The sequence below is a fragment of the Homo sapiens genome, chromosome 20 (assembly GCF_000001405.40).
Source record: "Homo sapiens chromosome 20, GRCh38.p14 Primary Assembly".
In the NCBI taxonomy this organism is placed as follows: domain Eukaryota; kingdom Metazoa; phylum Chordata; class Mammalia; order Primates; family Hominidae; genus Homo; species Homo sapiens.
The window spans coordinates 45,019,850-45,035,583 of NC_000020.11; the positions used below are offsets into that span (position 1 = coordinate 45,019,850).

Sequence of the window (15,734 nt, forward strand, 5' to 3'; positions counted from 1 at the left end):
GCTTGGAATGATTCTCTTACACTTTTCAACCTGACAAGCTGCTGTCCAGCACACTTGATCATCTATCTAGCTAACGGGTGCTGAAAGAAAAGTTCAAAGATAAGGTTACTGGGAAAATTACATTTCCCCACTCTTTCTGCACTTAGTTTAATGGCAGTTCTAACATGTCAAGAATCTTTATTTTGATTTTAGAGACTGTACAATATGAGATGTAGATCACTAAACTTAAAACCTGACATTTGGCATTCAAGTCCCATCCTTGTTGGTTACTAGCTTAGAAATCTGCAAATTTCTCACTTGTAAAAGGGGCATAATAAATAACATATATCTCAAAAGACTCTTTGAGGATTAAGTGATATAGTACATTTTCTGGCACTTGATAGATGCCTATTAAGTGTAAGGCTTTTCCCCCTCTACTTTATATGGTGGTCATGCAGTTTGGATGTGCAGTTTGGATGAGACCATTATGTGAAAGCACCTAGTAGAAAGCCTGAAATGTAGAAGGTATTTAGTGAATGTTAGTTAAATTTGAACCTAAGTTTCCAAAGAATAGAACTCTTTTTTCCAGATTTAGGGGTGTATGTTTATGCGTGTGTGTGTGTGTGTGTGTGTGTGTGTATGTTTATGTTTATGTTTATGTTTATGTTTATGTGAGATAGAGATACTGAAACTGTGTCAGTTAGCTTTTGCTGCATTGTAAACCACCCTAAAATTTAGTGGTTTAAAATAGCCATTTTATTTAACTTGATTCATGATTCTGTAAGTTGGCAGTTAGGTTGGACTCAGGTAGGCAGGCAATTCTGGTCTGAGCTGGTTAGCTCTGCTCTGTGGTCAGCTGGTGCAATAACAGCTGGGGATGGCTGATTTATTTGTTGAGACATTTGTTGACTTGGGCCTCTCCACGTAGTATTTCACCATCTAGCAGGCTCAATCAGGTTTATTTATATTATAGTAAAATATACAAGACTTTTTTTTTTTTTGAGACAGGGTCTTGCTCTGTTACCCAGGCTGGAGTACAGTTGTGCGATCATAGCTCACTGCAGCCTTGACCTCCTGGGCTCAGGTGATCCTCCTGCCTCAGCCTCCCAAATATTTGAGACCACAGGTGCGTGCCACCACACCCAGCTAATTTTTTTAAAAAATTATTATTTGTAGAGACCAGGTCTTGCTATGTTGCCCAGGCTGGTCTCGAACTCCTGGGCTCAAGCAGTCTACCCACCTTGGCCTCCAAAGTGGTGGGATTACAAGCATGAGCCACCATGCCCAGCCTACACAAGAATTTTTAAGTCTCTTCTTGCTGTACATTTGCTATTGTCTCAATGCCCAAAGCAGGTTAGATAGCCAGGCCCAGAGTCATTGTGAGAGGGAGTAAGGTAAGGATGAAGATACCAAGAGGAAATTGTTGTGGCCATTTTTAAAAACAATTTATCTTAGATACTAATTGTGATAGGAATGCAAATCTGTTTACTGAGAATTATTATCAGTCTATAAAATCAGACTTAGTACAGGTGCTGCAATGTAATGACAGTGTTATTCACAATAGGAATACTGCTGTCTTCTTCATATAAACTTAACATGTCAGTAAAGCACTCTCACACATGAAGAAAGAATCATTATGGTGGAGGCATTTATTTTCTGGAATCACTAAATACAAGGATCAGCTAATTGTTTTTGAATGTCTGCTGTTTCTTGCCAGTTAAGGTGGCTTCCCCTATCAGTCAGTTCATTCAGTTTTTCACTTTAGTTCCATAAAATATTTCATCTGCATCTCTAGACGATATCTTTATTACAGTTTGAGTTACCTCTTCCATCTGTTAAACCACCAACAACAAAAAATCCAAAGAATCAGAGATACTCTTGTCACTAAAATATTTCTTGAGTCTTAACTATTTTTCACTTTGGTCTTTGCTTTATGCCTGTACACATCTAGTTGTAGCATGTTTTAGATGAGAGGCATCCAGTATCATAATCCTACTAGAGATAAGAACTTCTTCTTTTGAATAGTTATTAATAACTGAGCATAAATATGTTTTCATATGCTACTGCCAAGTCATAAAATCACGGAATTTTTCAAAGCTGCAGGGAACATTAGATATAATCTGGCCCTGTGTCTTCTTTTTGCAGATTGGGAACCTGTGGTTTTACCAAGATCGTGTAGTCAGAACCAGAATCTAAATCTTTGAACTGCAGGATAGGGATTACTTTCCATTTTTTTTTATTGTGGTAAAATATACATAACATAAAATTTGAGGAGAGGAATTTTTCCGTTCTTCTGTCTCCAAAATCAACTTTAGCTTTTTGGCAATCTGATAAATGTAACATTTTAACTAATCATTTTGCTATAATTAAATTTCTAATACATATGTGCATTTTACTTACAGCTTATATCTGAATATGTGGTTAGATAAAAAAAATTCTCTTTTTATTTCACTTTAGTTTTTGGAACTTCGAATTCTAATAAATGTCAGGTATAATCAGGTCCCTGGTATTGATATCAGAAGGTAAAAGCAAATACATTTTAGATAGACTTTCTTATTTGTGGATTTTCATTGTTGAAAGAGACAAAGAACAGTTGGTGTTTTAACTCCAAAAATTAGAAATTTTTAAGTGGGTTGGTAAGAAAGAAGAACTCAAATATGAGGCAAGCAGATGTTCTCACTTTTTCATCTGAACAGTGACAGAAATAGACAAATAATTATATTCTCACTTAACAGACATTTCTTTGATTTTTATGACATGGTTTAGAATTAGACCACAGAAATGTTATCTTTAGTGTTTCATCATCCTTGGTTTAAAGATTCAATTTCTTAAGTCCACCTGTATTGCAACTGAAAGTAATTAATGAAGAACCATAGAAATATATTGTTTTATTGTTGGATATAATACATTTTAAAAAAGAATGACGCCCTTATGGTTTTTGTAAATTCCATTGGAGAAAAAGTTTTAAATTACCTGTTATTTCTGTCCAGAAGTCGCCATTTTTATTGATGAACTCAATTTAGTCATTTATCTGTGCATATATAAAAATGAATGGATGGATGGATAAACAGACGTGAATGACAGAAATAATGAGACAAGAGAGGTTGGTGCGTGATATATGCAGCTTACTCTCAAATTTTAAGTGTGTATTTCCTAAGAAAGAAGATACCCTCTTTTGTTTGTATTTCCTACAAAGGAGTTGCTCTTTTTTGTTACCACAATAAAGTGGTCAAAGACTGATTTTTCCTTTTTATTTCTTGGGACCGTGTCTCACTCTGTCTCCCAGGCTGGAGTGCAGTTGCATGATCATGGCTCTAACATCATACCTAGAGCACACAAAACAAAACACCATATACTTGCTGATTGGTCCTAGCAAATAATGTATTTAATTCTTAATTAGTGAGGAGAAAACAGTGTAGTAGGAAACCATTGGCAGTCTGTGGATATGGGCAGATACGGGATTGGCTGCTGTTGAACTTAGCAATGGTGATAGTGAGAAAAATGACAAATGTTCTGAGAGGTAGGGTGGCTGGCCTGAAACTGGACTAGGAAGTGTCATGAAATAAGTAAGATTGCATAGACCAAGGGTGCCTGGAGAGAAACACTTGCTGTTCTTTATCTTCTAGATACCTTCTCATCTACTTCTTAAGGTGCTGAGCCTTCTGGTTGTTTTTCCTGATTACTGTAGGAAAGGGCCGTATAAACCCCTATGTTCATGGAAAGCAATGAAAAATACTTCCTGTATTTCCCTGTATTAGAATACTAATCAGAGGCACAAAGATACTTCAACCTTTGAAACAGGTACATTCAGCTAGTTTGATTTTTAAATCATGCCAGGTAAAATTATTCTTTCTGCTCTTGTTACTAATAACTAATAGCTGCTGTATTCTGCTCTCTTAACGGTTACTGCTACTATGTAACTGCTGATGCTTTTCTCCAGGATGGTTTGAGGCCCCATCTAAGTCCCCTTTTACCAGTCTTCCCTGACCACACAGCATGCAAGAACTGGGCACATATAATTCTTTTAATCAATTCTATTTATTTTATACCTGTTCAATACTAACTTCTTTTTTTTTTTTTTTTTTTTTTTGAGACAGAGTCTCGCTCTGTCACCCAGGCTGGAGTGCAGTGGCGCGATCTCAGCTAACTGCAAGCTCTGCCTCCCGGGTTCACGCCATTCTCCTGCCTCAGCCTCCCGAGTAGTTGGGACTACAGGCGCCCGCCACCACGCCCGGCTAATTTTTTGTATTTTTAATAGAGATGGGGTTTCATCGTATTAGCCAGGATGGTCTCGATCTCCTGGCCTTGTGATCTGCCCACCTCAGCCTCCCAAAGTGCTGGGATTACAGGCGTGAGCCACCGCGCCTGACCCAGTACTAACTTATTTAAAAAAATGTTCATGAGAAGTAAATAAAATCACCAATAGTCCTACTACCAGAGATAAACCCTGTTAACATTTTGGGTATTTTCCCCTAGTTTTTTTTTTTTCCTATATGTATGATTTTATAGAGTCAAAATCATACTGTATATATAATACTGTATCCTATTTTTTCCTGTAAGTTTATTGTAAGCCATATGTAGATAGTATTTTTAAAGTTACCTAATATTTCATAGAGTGGATGAATTGTGATTTATTTATGTTTTCTTTTTCATGTATGTTTTTCTCATTATTCCAGTTAGATTATGAGATTATCAAAGAAAGTCACCCTACTGTATCATCCCCTCTTCCTACTTAAATGCCTATAGAGAATATTGTATGTGATAGATGCTAAATATTTTTGCTTGCTTCTGTCTCATTCTAAATATTATAGGAGCTGTTTGCTATGGGAGACTCCAAATGTATTATTTGCAGATTATCAGAATCATTGCATCACCCAAATCTTTCCATTTAGAAAGAGGGACCCCAGGGAAATTTCTGAATGTATTTTAGGGGAAATCTTAACTCCTCTGGAATTCCATGAGAATTTTTTGGGCAAGGATTTGTGCATTTTTTGTAGTTTCACTAGATTCTTGAAGGAGTCCTTTATCTAACAGAAATATCCACTGATCCAGAGATTGTAGCCCATCTGGAGATATGTCTATTTATTAAACTTACCTAAAATTTAGAATGTTTCTTTTCATTTTTCATTTTTCTTTGTTTTCAGGAAGGGATGAGACCATGCAGCCTGCGAAACCATCCTTTCTTGAATATTTTGAACAAAAAGAAAAGGAAAACCAGATCAACAGCTTTGGCAAGAGTGTACCTGGTCCACTGAAAAATTCTTCAGATTGGAAAATACCACAGGATGGAGACTACGAGTTTGTAAGTAGTGTTGGAAGTAAATGGTTATGTCTTCAGGGGAAGTTATTTGAAATATCACACATTAGTGCCCAAGCATTTTCTTGTGCATTTTGAGTCTCCTAAACCATCCCTGACAGTGTCTACTGAGCTGAAGGACAGTATTTTGACTGATGTTTGGGCAGTTCTCTGGTCCCTGATTAGTGGCATCTTTTTCGCTTTCGAAGTCCATATTCAGTTTTTATTTTTGTCCAGTTAGAAATTGTTCATGGTGAGAGAAGTATTCAATCATCAAATGAAATTGCAACTGTCTTTAATAGTTTATTTGGGGTTTTGATTTTATATTTAAGAATTAGATTGGAGGGCAATTGACACTGTTTTGTGGTGTCCTTGTTGTTTTGCTAACTATTCTCCTAATTTTAACCCTGCTGAAAGGATTATTCTCAGTTTTTTTCAGAGGATGAATGTATAATTATTCCAGTTTCATATGAAAAACTGGATGTGTTTTCCTTTCTCTACTGTGGAACATTTTCCCTCAACCATAGACACTTATTAATGTTCATAGGCATTTAAGGAGTAGAGCAATAAAAATTTTGGGAAAAAGTAAGCTAAGGAGTCTGCATTTTCTTCTTGACTATTACTAGAAAAGATTTTTCTCTTCAGGAGCTTTTTATTTTTACATTCTAAAATTCTGAAGTTTGATCCTCCATCTGTCATAATTCTGTTGTTTATAAAAGAACTTAGATTGGGCATTGGGCTTGAATTCTGGTAGGCCTGTCTAGTTCTGGCTTTCCACTATACTACTGACTGGCCTAGAGGAAATGACGCCATTCTTCCATAACTTAATTTCTACTTTTATAAAATGGCAGGAATATCACAGTTTATACAACTAATGGTAGAGATCCTTTGAGGACCAGAATAACTCATCTGAGGTAAATTAACTGATTAGTCACTGAACCCATGATAGAACCCAGGCTATTTGTTTTATTACCTGTTTGTTCATTTACTTACTTATCCAGTGGTTTTTTTTTTTTTTTTTGGATGTCATGTGTTTGACACTATTCTAGGGATGTGGTCATTAACAGAACAGCCAAAAACCCATCCCTCATGGAGGTTTCATTCTAGGCGAAGGAAAATAAGTATTTAGTGTGTTAAATGGTAGCAACTATTGTAAAAAATATAAAGCAAAAGGGAGGTTAGGAGACAGAAAGAGTGTGTGTGTGTGTGTGTGTGTGTGTGTGTGCATAGTTTTTTAAAAATAAGAGTAGTCAAGGAAGTTCTCACTGGTAAGAAGATGAGGATGTGAACTATGTGAATATCTAGAGGAGAGATTTTTAGGCAGCAGGAATAGCAGATGCAAAGATCCTGAGGCAGGGACTTGGCTGGTATGTTTACAGAACAACGAAGAAACAGTCTGTTTTGGAATGGCATCAATAGGATGTGCAGCAGGAAATGATATCAGAGATATAATGGAGAGCGAGATAATGCAGGGCTTTTTGTGTAATAAAAAGGACTTTAGCTTTTACTCTTGAGTGGAATGAAAGACCATTGGAAGGGATGACTTGACCTTATTTATATTTAAAAGGTATTATTCTAGTTGCTGTATTAATACATTATAGGAGAACTGTAGCGTTTCTGAACACAGGTGCAGTGTTTTTATTTACTATTCAAAGGTGGCAAATTATGGGGCACATCTGCTACTATTCTCCTCTTCTAGGCCTTTGGCACCCATCTGTTCCACTGAATCAGGGTTCAGCTTCAGAATCCTTCTTAACACAGCACACCAGGCTGCCACTGCTAATCATAGTAGACTTACGAAATTTGAATTATTGTGCGTCTGTTCCATGTTGCCTGTATAGTTGTCTTCAACATGTGTATAAGGACTGATTTCTCAGTTTAGCCAGTCTTCAGGCAAAGATGTTTAACTACTGGGTACCAAATCACATCATTATTGTGATAGAATGCTTGAGAATCCTCAAATCTGTAGTACTTCTAAGCTTAGTTTCCTTGTTTTTAAATGTTTTAGAAGTTAGCGATTTTGGCTAGGCGCAGTGGCTCACGCCTGTAATCCCAGCACTTTGGGAGGCCAAGGCCGGTCAATCACCTTAGGTCAGGAGTTCGAGGCTAGCCTGACCAACACAGAGAAACCCCGTCTCTACTAACAATACAAAAAAATCAGCCAGTGTGGTGGTGCATGCCTGTAATCCCAGCTACTCGGGAGGCTGAGGCAGGAGAATCGCTTGAACCCAGGAGGTGGAGGTTGTGGTGAGCCGAGATCATGCCATTGCACTCCAGCCTGGGCAACAAGAGTGAAACTCCGTCTCAAAAAAAAAAAAAAAAAAAAGAAGTTAGCAATTTTGAAAACCCAGTCACTTTAATCCTTTTTAATTTTAAAAAATATTGTTTATGATATTTTTAGGATACATGTAATATTTTAGTACCTGTTCATAATGTGTAGTGATCAAATCAGAGTAATTGGGATATCTATTACCTCAGACGTTTTTCTTTGTGTTGGGAACATTATAAATCTTCAGCCGTTTTGAAGTATACAATAAATTATTAACTATAATTTTCCTACTGTACTATCGAATACTAGAACTTATTCCTTCTCTCTGACATATTTTTGTACCCCTTAACCAACTTCTCTTCATCCCTCTTTCACCTCTTTCCCAGCCACTGCTAACCGTCATTCTACACTCTGTCTCCATAGGATCCACTTTTTTAGCTCCCACATGAGTGAGAACATGTAATATTTGTCTTTCTGTCTCTGTCTTATTGTAGCTAACATAATGACCTCCAGTAATATCCATGTTGCAATAAAAGAAGCGACAACATTTCTTTCTCTTTTCTGGCGGATAATATTCCATTGTGTGTATACCACATCTTCTTTATCCATTTATCCATTGATGGACACTTGGGTTGATTCCATATCTTGGCTATTGTGAATAGTGTTGCAATAAATAGGAGAGTTTAGATATCTTGTTGATACATTGATTTCCTTTCTTTTGGATATATGCCCAGCAGTGGGATTGCTGGATCATATAGTAGACCTATTTTAATTTTTTAAGGAACCTCTATACTGTTTTTTATAATCGTTTTATTACTTTAAATTCCTACCAATGGCGTATGAACATTCCCCTTTCTCTACATCTTCACCAGCATTTGTTATTTCCTGTCTTATTGATAATAGCCATTCTAACTAGGGTGAGATGATATCTCTCTTTTTTTTTTTTTTTAAGAGATAGGGTCTTGCTTATTCTCCCAGGCTGGAGTGCAGTGGTCCGATCATAGCTCACTACAGCTTCAAACTCCTGGCCTGTAGTAATCCTCCCACCTCAGCCTTCTGAGTACCTAGGACTACAGGTATGGATCACCACGCCTGGCTAATTTTTAAATTTTTTCCAAAGATGAGGTCTGGAAATGTTGCCCCAGCTCATCTGGAACACCTGGCCTGAAATAATCCTCCTGCCCGGGCCTCCCAGAATGCTAGGATTACAGATATGAGCCACTGTACCGGCTCTTTGTGGTTTCAGTTTGCATTTTCCTAATGATTAGTGATATTGAGATTTTTTCTTATGACTGTTGCCCATTTGTATGTCTTTTGAGAAATGTCTATTCAGGCCTTTTGCCCAACTTTAATTCTAATCATTATTCTTGGATCAGTAGTTTCAACGTGTAAAGAATTTATTTCTCTTTGCCACAGTTTTCTCATACTAAGATCATTGGCAGGAAACTTGTTTTGGTGGGCAAGCTACTTATACGGAGGAGCTTTAGGAGCTTTTAGAGAGAGTACTTTTTATTTTGGAAGTAGATGACTTCTAGGGGGAGTGGGCCCATGGTGCACAGTGACCAGGTTAGCACATTGCATGACTTGTATTCCTCCTGAGACTTTCTTCTAAATCTGAGGTCATAAACTGGCAGCAACCAGCTCACAGACCTTTCTGTGTGTCCTATACGGTGTTTAAATTTTTAATTTTTAAAAATTAGTTGCTTATGTTAAAAACTTATGAGATTTTACACAAAATGTTGGATCTCCAGCTTATTTTGAAAATGTGAAAGATCTGGCTACAGTAGACCTACATTATTGGTTAATGGTTGTCTGGAGCTGAGTGGCAGCTGCCCTCTTTAGGTATGACCTCTCTAATTCTTCACACTATTTGACCTACTTCACTCATTTGTATTAACTGTCTGACCTGTCTGACACTTAGGGGCATTTGATATTGGGACTCTTGCACTAAATTGTTTGGATTTATATATGCTTGAGCCAGCCTATTCTGATATATGACATTCTACTCTATTTGTACCTTCAGAATGTTAAGATAATTTACTTAATAAAAGTCTCTTACAGAAAAATTTCAAACTAAGCAATAAAATTGAGATGAGAGATACATGAGCTGCTCTCCCAACAAAGATCAAATGAAAACTGTCTTCATAGTTGATATTCTTGTTACATAGCTTTTACCTTGATCCTAAAGCAAGCATTTGAAATAATAGTCTAGAACAGTGGTTCTCAAAGTGGTCCCAGACCAGCAGTGTTAGCATCACCTAGAGACTGTTAGAAAGGCAGTTATTCAGGCCTTACCCCAGGCAGACTGAATAGGAATATCTGGGGACAGCACCCATTGATTGGTGTTTTAACCTGTCCTCCTGGTGACTCTTACCCACTAAAGTTGTTCTAAAAGGTTTTTACAGTAGTATATCTTCATATACATTTCTTGTTTTCTTTTCTATTAGGTACTATAGAAATTCAGAGATAAGGATGTATTTCTATTTTATTAACATTGTATGATTTTTAAATTTCCTTGTTATTCCCCTTTTGAGTCTCCTATACTCTTACTGGAGGTACCAAAGAAGCACATAAAATATGGAAAATGTATGTTTGTAAGTGACATCTGGCAAATAAAGAGCTAGTCCTTTGAGTGAAGAAAGTTCTGAATAATCTCCTGAAAGCTTAACGAAGGATATGTGTCAGACTTGCTAACATGTTTCCCTCACAGTTGCTTTTTTTTTTTTTTGAGATGGAGTCTCACTCTGTTGCTCAGGCTGGAGTGCAGTGGTGACATGATCTCAGCTCACTGCAACCTCTGCCGCCCGGGTTCAAGCACTTCTCTGCCTCAGCCTCCTGAGTATCTGGGATTATAGGTGCCTGCCACCACACCCAGCTAATTTTTGTATTTTTAGTAGAGACAGGGTTTCACCATCTTGGCCAGGCTGATCTTGAACACCTGACCTTGTGATCCACTCTCTTTGGCCTCCCAAAGTGCTGGGAGTACAGGCGTGAGCCACCGGGCCCAGCCTCCTTCACAATCTCTTACAGACTTTCTGATTTCTAGGCAGATAGTATTTAATTATGAAAAAAGATAATTCTGTTTCCTCCTATGAAGAGAATTGCTGCTTTCCAATGACCTTTTTGCCCAAAATGGCAAATAGGAAGTAATTTAATCAGGAGTAGCCGAATTTTGTACTGACAAAACTTCATATTTTCATCTGAAACTGAATATTTGTCTCATTTCTAAAAGTGAATTGCCTGTTTGCCAAGTTGAGAAACCCCTCCAAAAATTTCTAATAGTGTTTAAGATACATAGTGATTAAAATATAAAAGGTGCTTAAAAATGCAATAGTCTCTAAAATTGATATTTCATATTCTATTAGCAGATCACTTTTTTGGAAAAAAATGTAATATTTTGTGAGAATTCAGACCTTCCCATTTTGCCATTCATAAAGCCACAAACAGCTGTAAACTTAAATCCAATTTGGCTCATGAATCTTCCAAAAACACACTGTAATATTTTAGTTTAAGATGACCCAGGCTGGGTGCAGTGGCTCATACCTGTAATCCCAGCACTTTGGGAGGCTGAGGTGGAAGGTTTGCTTGAGCTCAGGAGTTCGAGACCAGCCTGGCACATAGTGAGACCCCATCTCTATTACAAAAATAAAAAAAAGATGGCCCAAGTGCCAACAGTGGTGAACAAAACAGACCAGGCCCATGTTCTCATGGAGTTTACAGTGAAGGAAATAGACATTAAGCCAGTACCCTAGTAGGTATCAGTTCAGGTAATAATAGCGAATTTTTTTTTTTTTTAAAGCACAGTTAAGAGATATTGTGAGAAAAGGCCTGTGGAGAGACAGGACATTCAGCTGAGACATCAGTGAAGAGGGGAAGCAAGTCACAGGAAGGTAGGGGAAATAAGTACAGAGACTGTGAGGCAAGACATAGACTATGTGTAAGGAAGGAAAGGAGTCCATTGTGGCTGGAGCCGAGTGACACATGGGATAGCAGTTTAAATGTAAATGCATCAGTAATCACAGTAAATGTGAGTGCACTAAAATCTCCTATTAGAAGAGAAAGAGTCTGGATAAAAATAACAGTCAAATTCCGGCTAAATGCTGTTTATAAGAGATGTAACGGAAAGAAAATACAACCGAAAAGTTTAAAACAGAGGAATGGAAAAAGATACACTAGGCAAATACTCACTAAAAGAAAGTGGGTGAAACAATATTGATATCAAATGAGGCCAAGCATGGTGGCTCATGCCTGTAATCCCAGCACTTTGGGAGGCCGAGGCAGGCGGACCACGTGAGGTCAGGAGTTTGAGACCAGCCTGGCCAACATGGTGAAACCCCATCCCTACTAAAAGTACAAAAAATTAGTTGGGCGTGGTGGCAGATGCACCTGTAGTCCCAGCTACTCAGGGGGCCGAGGCAGAAGAATTGCTTGAACCCAGGAGGCGGAGGTTGCAGTGAGCCGAGATCATGCCACTGCACTCCAGCCTGGCTGACACAGCGAGACTTCATCTCAAAAAAAAAAAAAAAAAAAAATCAGATGAAATAGAATTTAAGACAAAAGAATGTTACCTGGGAAGGATATGTTTTATACTGTTAAAAGGTATACTTTATCTAGAAGATGTAAGTCATGCACCTATATGAAACATACATATTTATCCCAAACTGATAGAAATAGAAGGAGCAATGAGAATACTGCAATTATAGTTTCAAGAAGTTAATCAAGAAGACTTAAATATTCTTCTCTCCAAAATTGACATTTCAGTTAGACAAAAAACTAACGCAATTAACAACACTGATAAAACAGAAAATAGACAAAATTTCTAATATATATGAAACTTTAAAAACATGGAATATTTGTAAAACAACTATTTTATTCTTTTTTTTACCTTTATTTCAGGTTCAGGGGTACATGTGCAGGTTTGTTACACAGGTGAATTGTGTGTCATGGGGGTTTGGTGTACAGATTATTTCATCACACAGGTAATAAGCATAGTAACCCATAGGTAGTTTTTCGATCCTCACCCTCCTCCCACCCTCTGCCCTCAAGGAAGCCCTGATTTCTATTGTTCTGTTCTTTGTGTCCATGTGTACTCAGTGTTGAGCTCCTACTTACAAGTGAGAACATGCTGTATTTGGTTTTCTGTCCTTGTGTTAGTTTGCTTGGGATAATGGCCTCCAGCTCATCCATGTTGCTGCAAAGGATGTGATCTTGCTCGTTTCTGTGGCTGTGTAGTATACCATGTCAACATGTACCACATTTTCTTTATCCAGTCTGTCATTGATGGGCATTTAGGTTAATTTCATGTTTTTGCTATTGTGAATAGTACTGCAGCGAACACAACACATGCATGTGTCTTTATGGTAGAACAATTTCTGTGCCTTTGGGTATATACTCAATAATGGGACTGCTAGGTTGAACAGTAATTCTCTTTTAAGTTCTTTGAGAAATCGACACATGGCTTTCCACCATGATTGAACTAATTTACATTCCCACCAGCAGTGTATAAGTAATCCCATTTCTCTGCAACCTCGCCAGCATCTGTTATTTTTGATTTTCTAATAATAGCCATTCTGACTGGTATGAGATAGTATCTCATTGTGGTTTTGATTTGCATTTTTCTAATGGTTAGTGATGTTGAGTATTTTTTTCACATGCTTATTGACCATGTGTATGTCTTCTTTTGAGAAGTGTCTGTTCATGTCCTTTCCCCATTTTTAATGAGGTCGTTTGCTTTTTACTTGTTAATTTGTTTAAGTTCCTTACAGATTCTGAATATTAGATCTTTCTTGGATGCATAGTTTGCAGAAATTTTCTCCCATTTTGTAGGTTGTCTGTTCACTCTGTTGAAAGTTTATTTTGCTGTTCAGAAGCTCTTTAGTTTAATTAGAACCTATTTGCCAATTTTAATTTCTGTTACAATTGCTTTTGTTGCCTTCATCATGAAATCTTCGCCAGGTCCTATATCCAGAATGGTGTTTTCTAGGTTATCTTCTAGGGTTTTTATAGTTTTAGGTTTTACATTTAAGTCTTTAATTCATTTTGAGTTGATTTTTGTATACGGTTTAAGGAGGGGGGTCCAGTTTCAGTCTTTTGCATATGGCTAGCCAGTTATCTCAGGATCATTTATTGAATAAGGAGTCCTTTCTCCATTGCTTGTGTTCGTCAACTTTGAGTTACTATGTTTTTTTTGTTTTTTGTTTTGAGACAGAGTCTTGCTCTGTTGCCCAGGCTGGAGTAATGCAGTGGCGTGATCTCAACTCACTGCAATCTCTGCCTCCTGGGTTCAAGTGATTCTCCTGCCTCAGCCTCCTGAATAGCTGAGATTACAGGCACCTGCTACTCTACCTGGCTAATTTTTGTATTTTTAGTAGAGATGGGGTTTCACCATGTTGGCCAGGCTGGTCTCAATCTCCTGACTTTGGGTGATCTACCCACCTCGGCCTTTCAAAGTGCTGGGATTACAGGTGTGAGCCACCATGCCCAGCCAATGTTTGAAAGGGTTAAAAAAGAAATCAGGCCACGTTACCTGACTATAATGCAATAAAATTAGAAATTAACATTAAGAAAGTAGTCAAAGCCACTTTATCCCACCTGGAGATATAAAAATATATTCTTAAATCTTACTTTAAAGATAAAATAAAATATAAATTATAAACAATTTAGAAATGAATAATAAGAATTATACAAAATTCAAATCCCTGTAATTCAGAACCTGTGGGAGGCAGTAAACAATGGCACTTAGAAGAAGATTTATAGCCTTAAATGAATTTTCTTTTTAGAATACAAGAAAGATTATAAATAAGTTAAAAATAGGATAAAGATAAAAGCAGAATTTAATGAAAATAGAAAACAAACCAAAAAGTTGATTGGTAAAAACCAACAGCAAGATATTTGAAAGGACCTGATATTTGGTAGATTTGATCAAGTTAAAAAGGAAGAGTGTACCAATAAACTGCAGTAGGGGAAAGGCGAGAGACAGTTACTAGAAACAGAATATGGCAGTGTGATTAGAGATTATTATTTATAATTTTATATTATTAAATTTGAAAACTTAGATAAATAGATGTTTAAACACTATGCCATATTTACTTCCCATGTGGAAGTGTAAATGCATAAAAATATGCAAGATACTTTTGAACAAGAAGAACAAGGTTGATCTTATTCTTTCAGAGACCAAAACATACCACAAAACCACAATAATGAAAGCACTGTGATATTGGCATAAGAATAGAACATAGGCCAGGTGTGGTGGTTCACCCTGTAATCCCAGCACTTTGGGAGGTTAAGGCGGGAGGATCACTTGAACCCAGGAATTTGAGATCAGCCTAAGTATCATAGTGAGATCCCCATCTCTACAAAAAAAAGGAAAAAAAATTAGCTGGGCTTGGTGGTATATGCCTATAATCTCAGCTACTTGAGAGGCTGAGGTGGGAGGATCTCTTGAGCCCAGGAGTTCGAGGCTGCAGTGAGCTAGGATTGCACCACTGTATACTGCCCTGAGTGACAGAGTGAGACCCCATGTCTTAAAACAACAACAACAACAAAAGATCAATGTTAAAGAGTAGGATTAAGAAACATACCTATGTATGTATATGTGTGTGTGTATATATAATATAGATAAATTTTTAAAAATATATACACCTTTGTTGGATGCATAGTTTACATTATATATGAGTGTATTATATAATGATAAAATACAAAATAATGCAAACTGTAAAATTTGTGTAAATTTAATAAAACACAAATCATGCTACCATTTCTATGTATATGCACACATACAGCTGCATAGATAAAAAAAGACAGGATCTAAAAATAACTTGAAAGTCATTACCTGTGGAGAGAACTTTAGTTTTAGCTGTCTTTACACAGAGAGAGAATATATTACTATATCAATATATTACTTGCTTAACTTAAAAGAAATAAATAGAGCAAGATACATTTTTAAACTTTCAATTGAGATTTTTTTTCTGGTTTTAGTCTAAATAAAGTTAACCAGGTTATATATATACAGATTAAGAGAACCACAATACTTTTCAGTCAGTTATCAGCTTTGCAAGTATTGTTGATTATTAGCTTTCAGTATCCTTAGCTTTTAGAGTAAATTTCCTATTTATTCAAATGAAGTTGCTTTCAGATTTCTTATGACTTCTTCTATAAAAAGAGTTGATAGTAACTGGCCCTCACATATTA

General features: G+C 36.9%; 1 protein-coding gene across 8 annotated transcripts in view; it reads left to right on the top strand.

Annotated features, from left to right (window-relative positions):
• STK4 (serine/threonine kinase 4) overlaps positions 1-15,734 on the top strand; it is a 113,510-nt gene that overhangs the window by 53,338 nt on the left and 44,438 nt on the right. For 7 of the 8 annotated variants that reach the window (XM_017028031.3, XM_011529018.4, XM_047440425.1 and 4 more), the window contains one exon: positions 5,124-5,281. In XM_017028031.3, coding sequence (XP_016883520.1) covers positions 5,124-5,281 — 158 coding nt within the window. Of the gene's footprint in view, positions 1-5,123; positions 5,282-15,734 lie in introns of those variants that run through there. The other variant, XM_017028033.2, reaches the window with a different exon arrangement.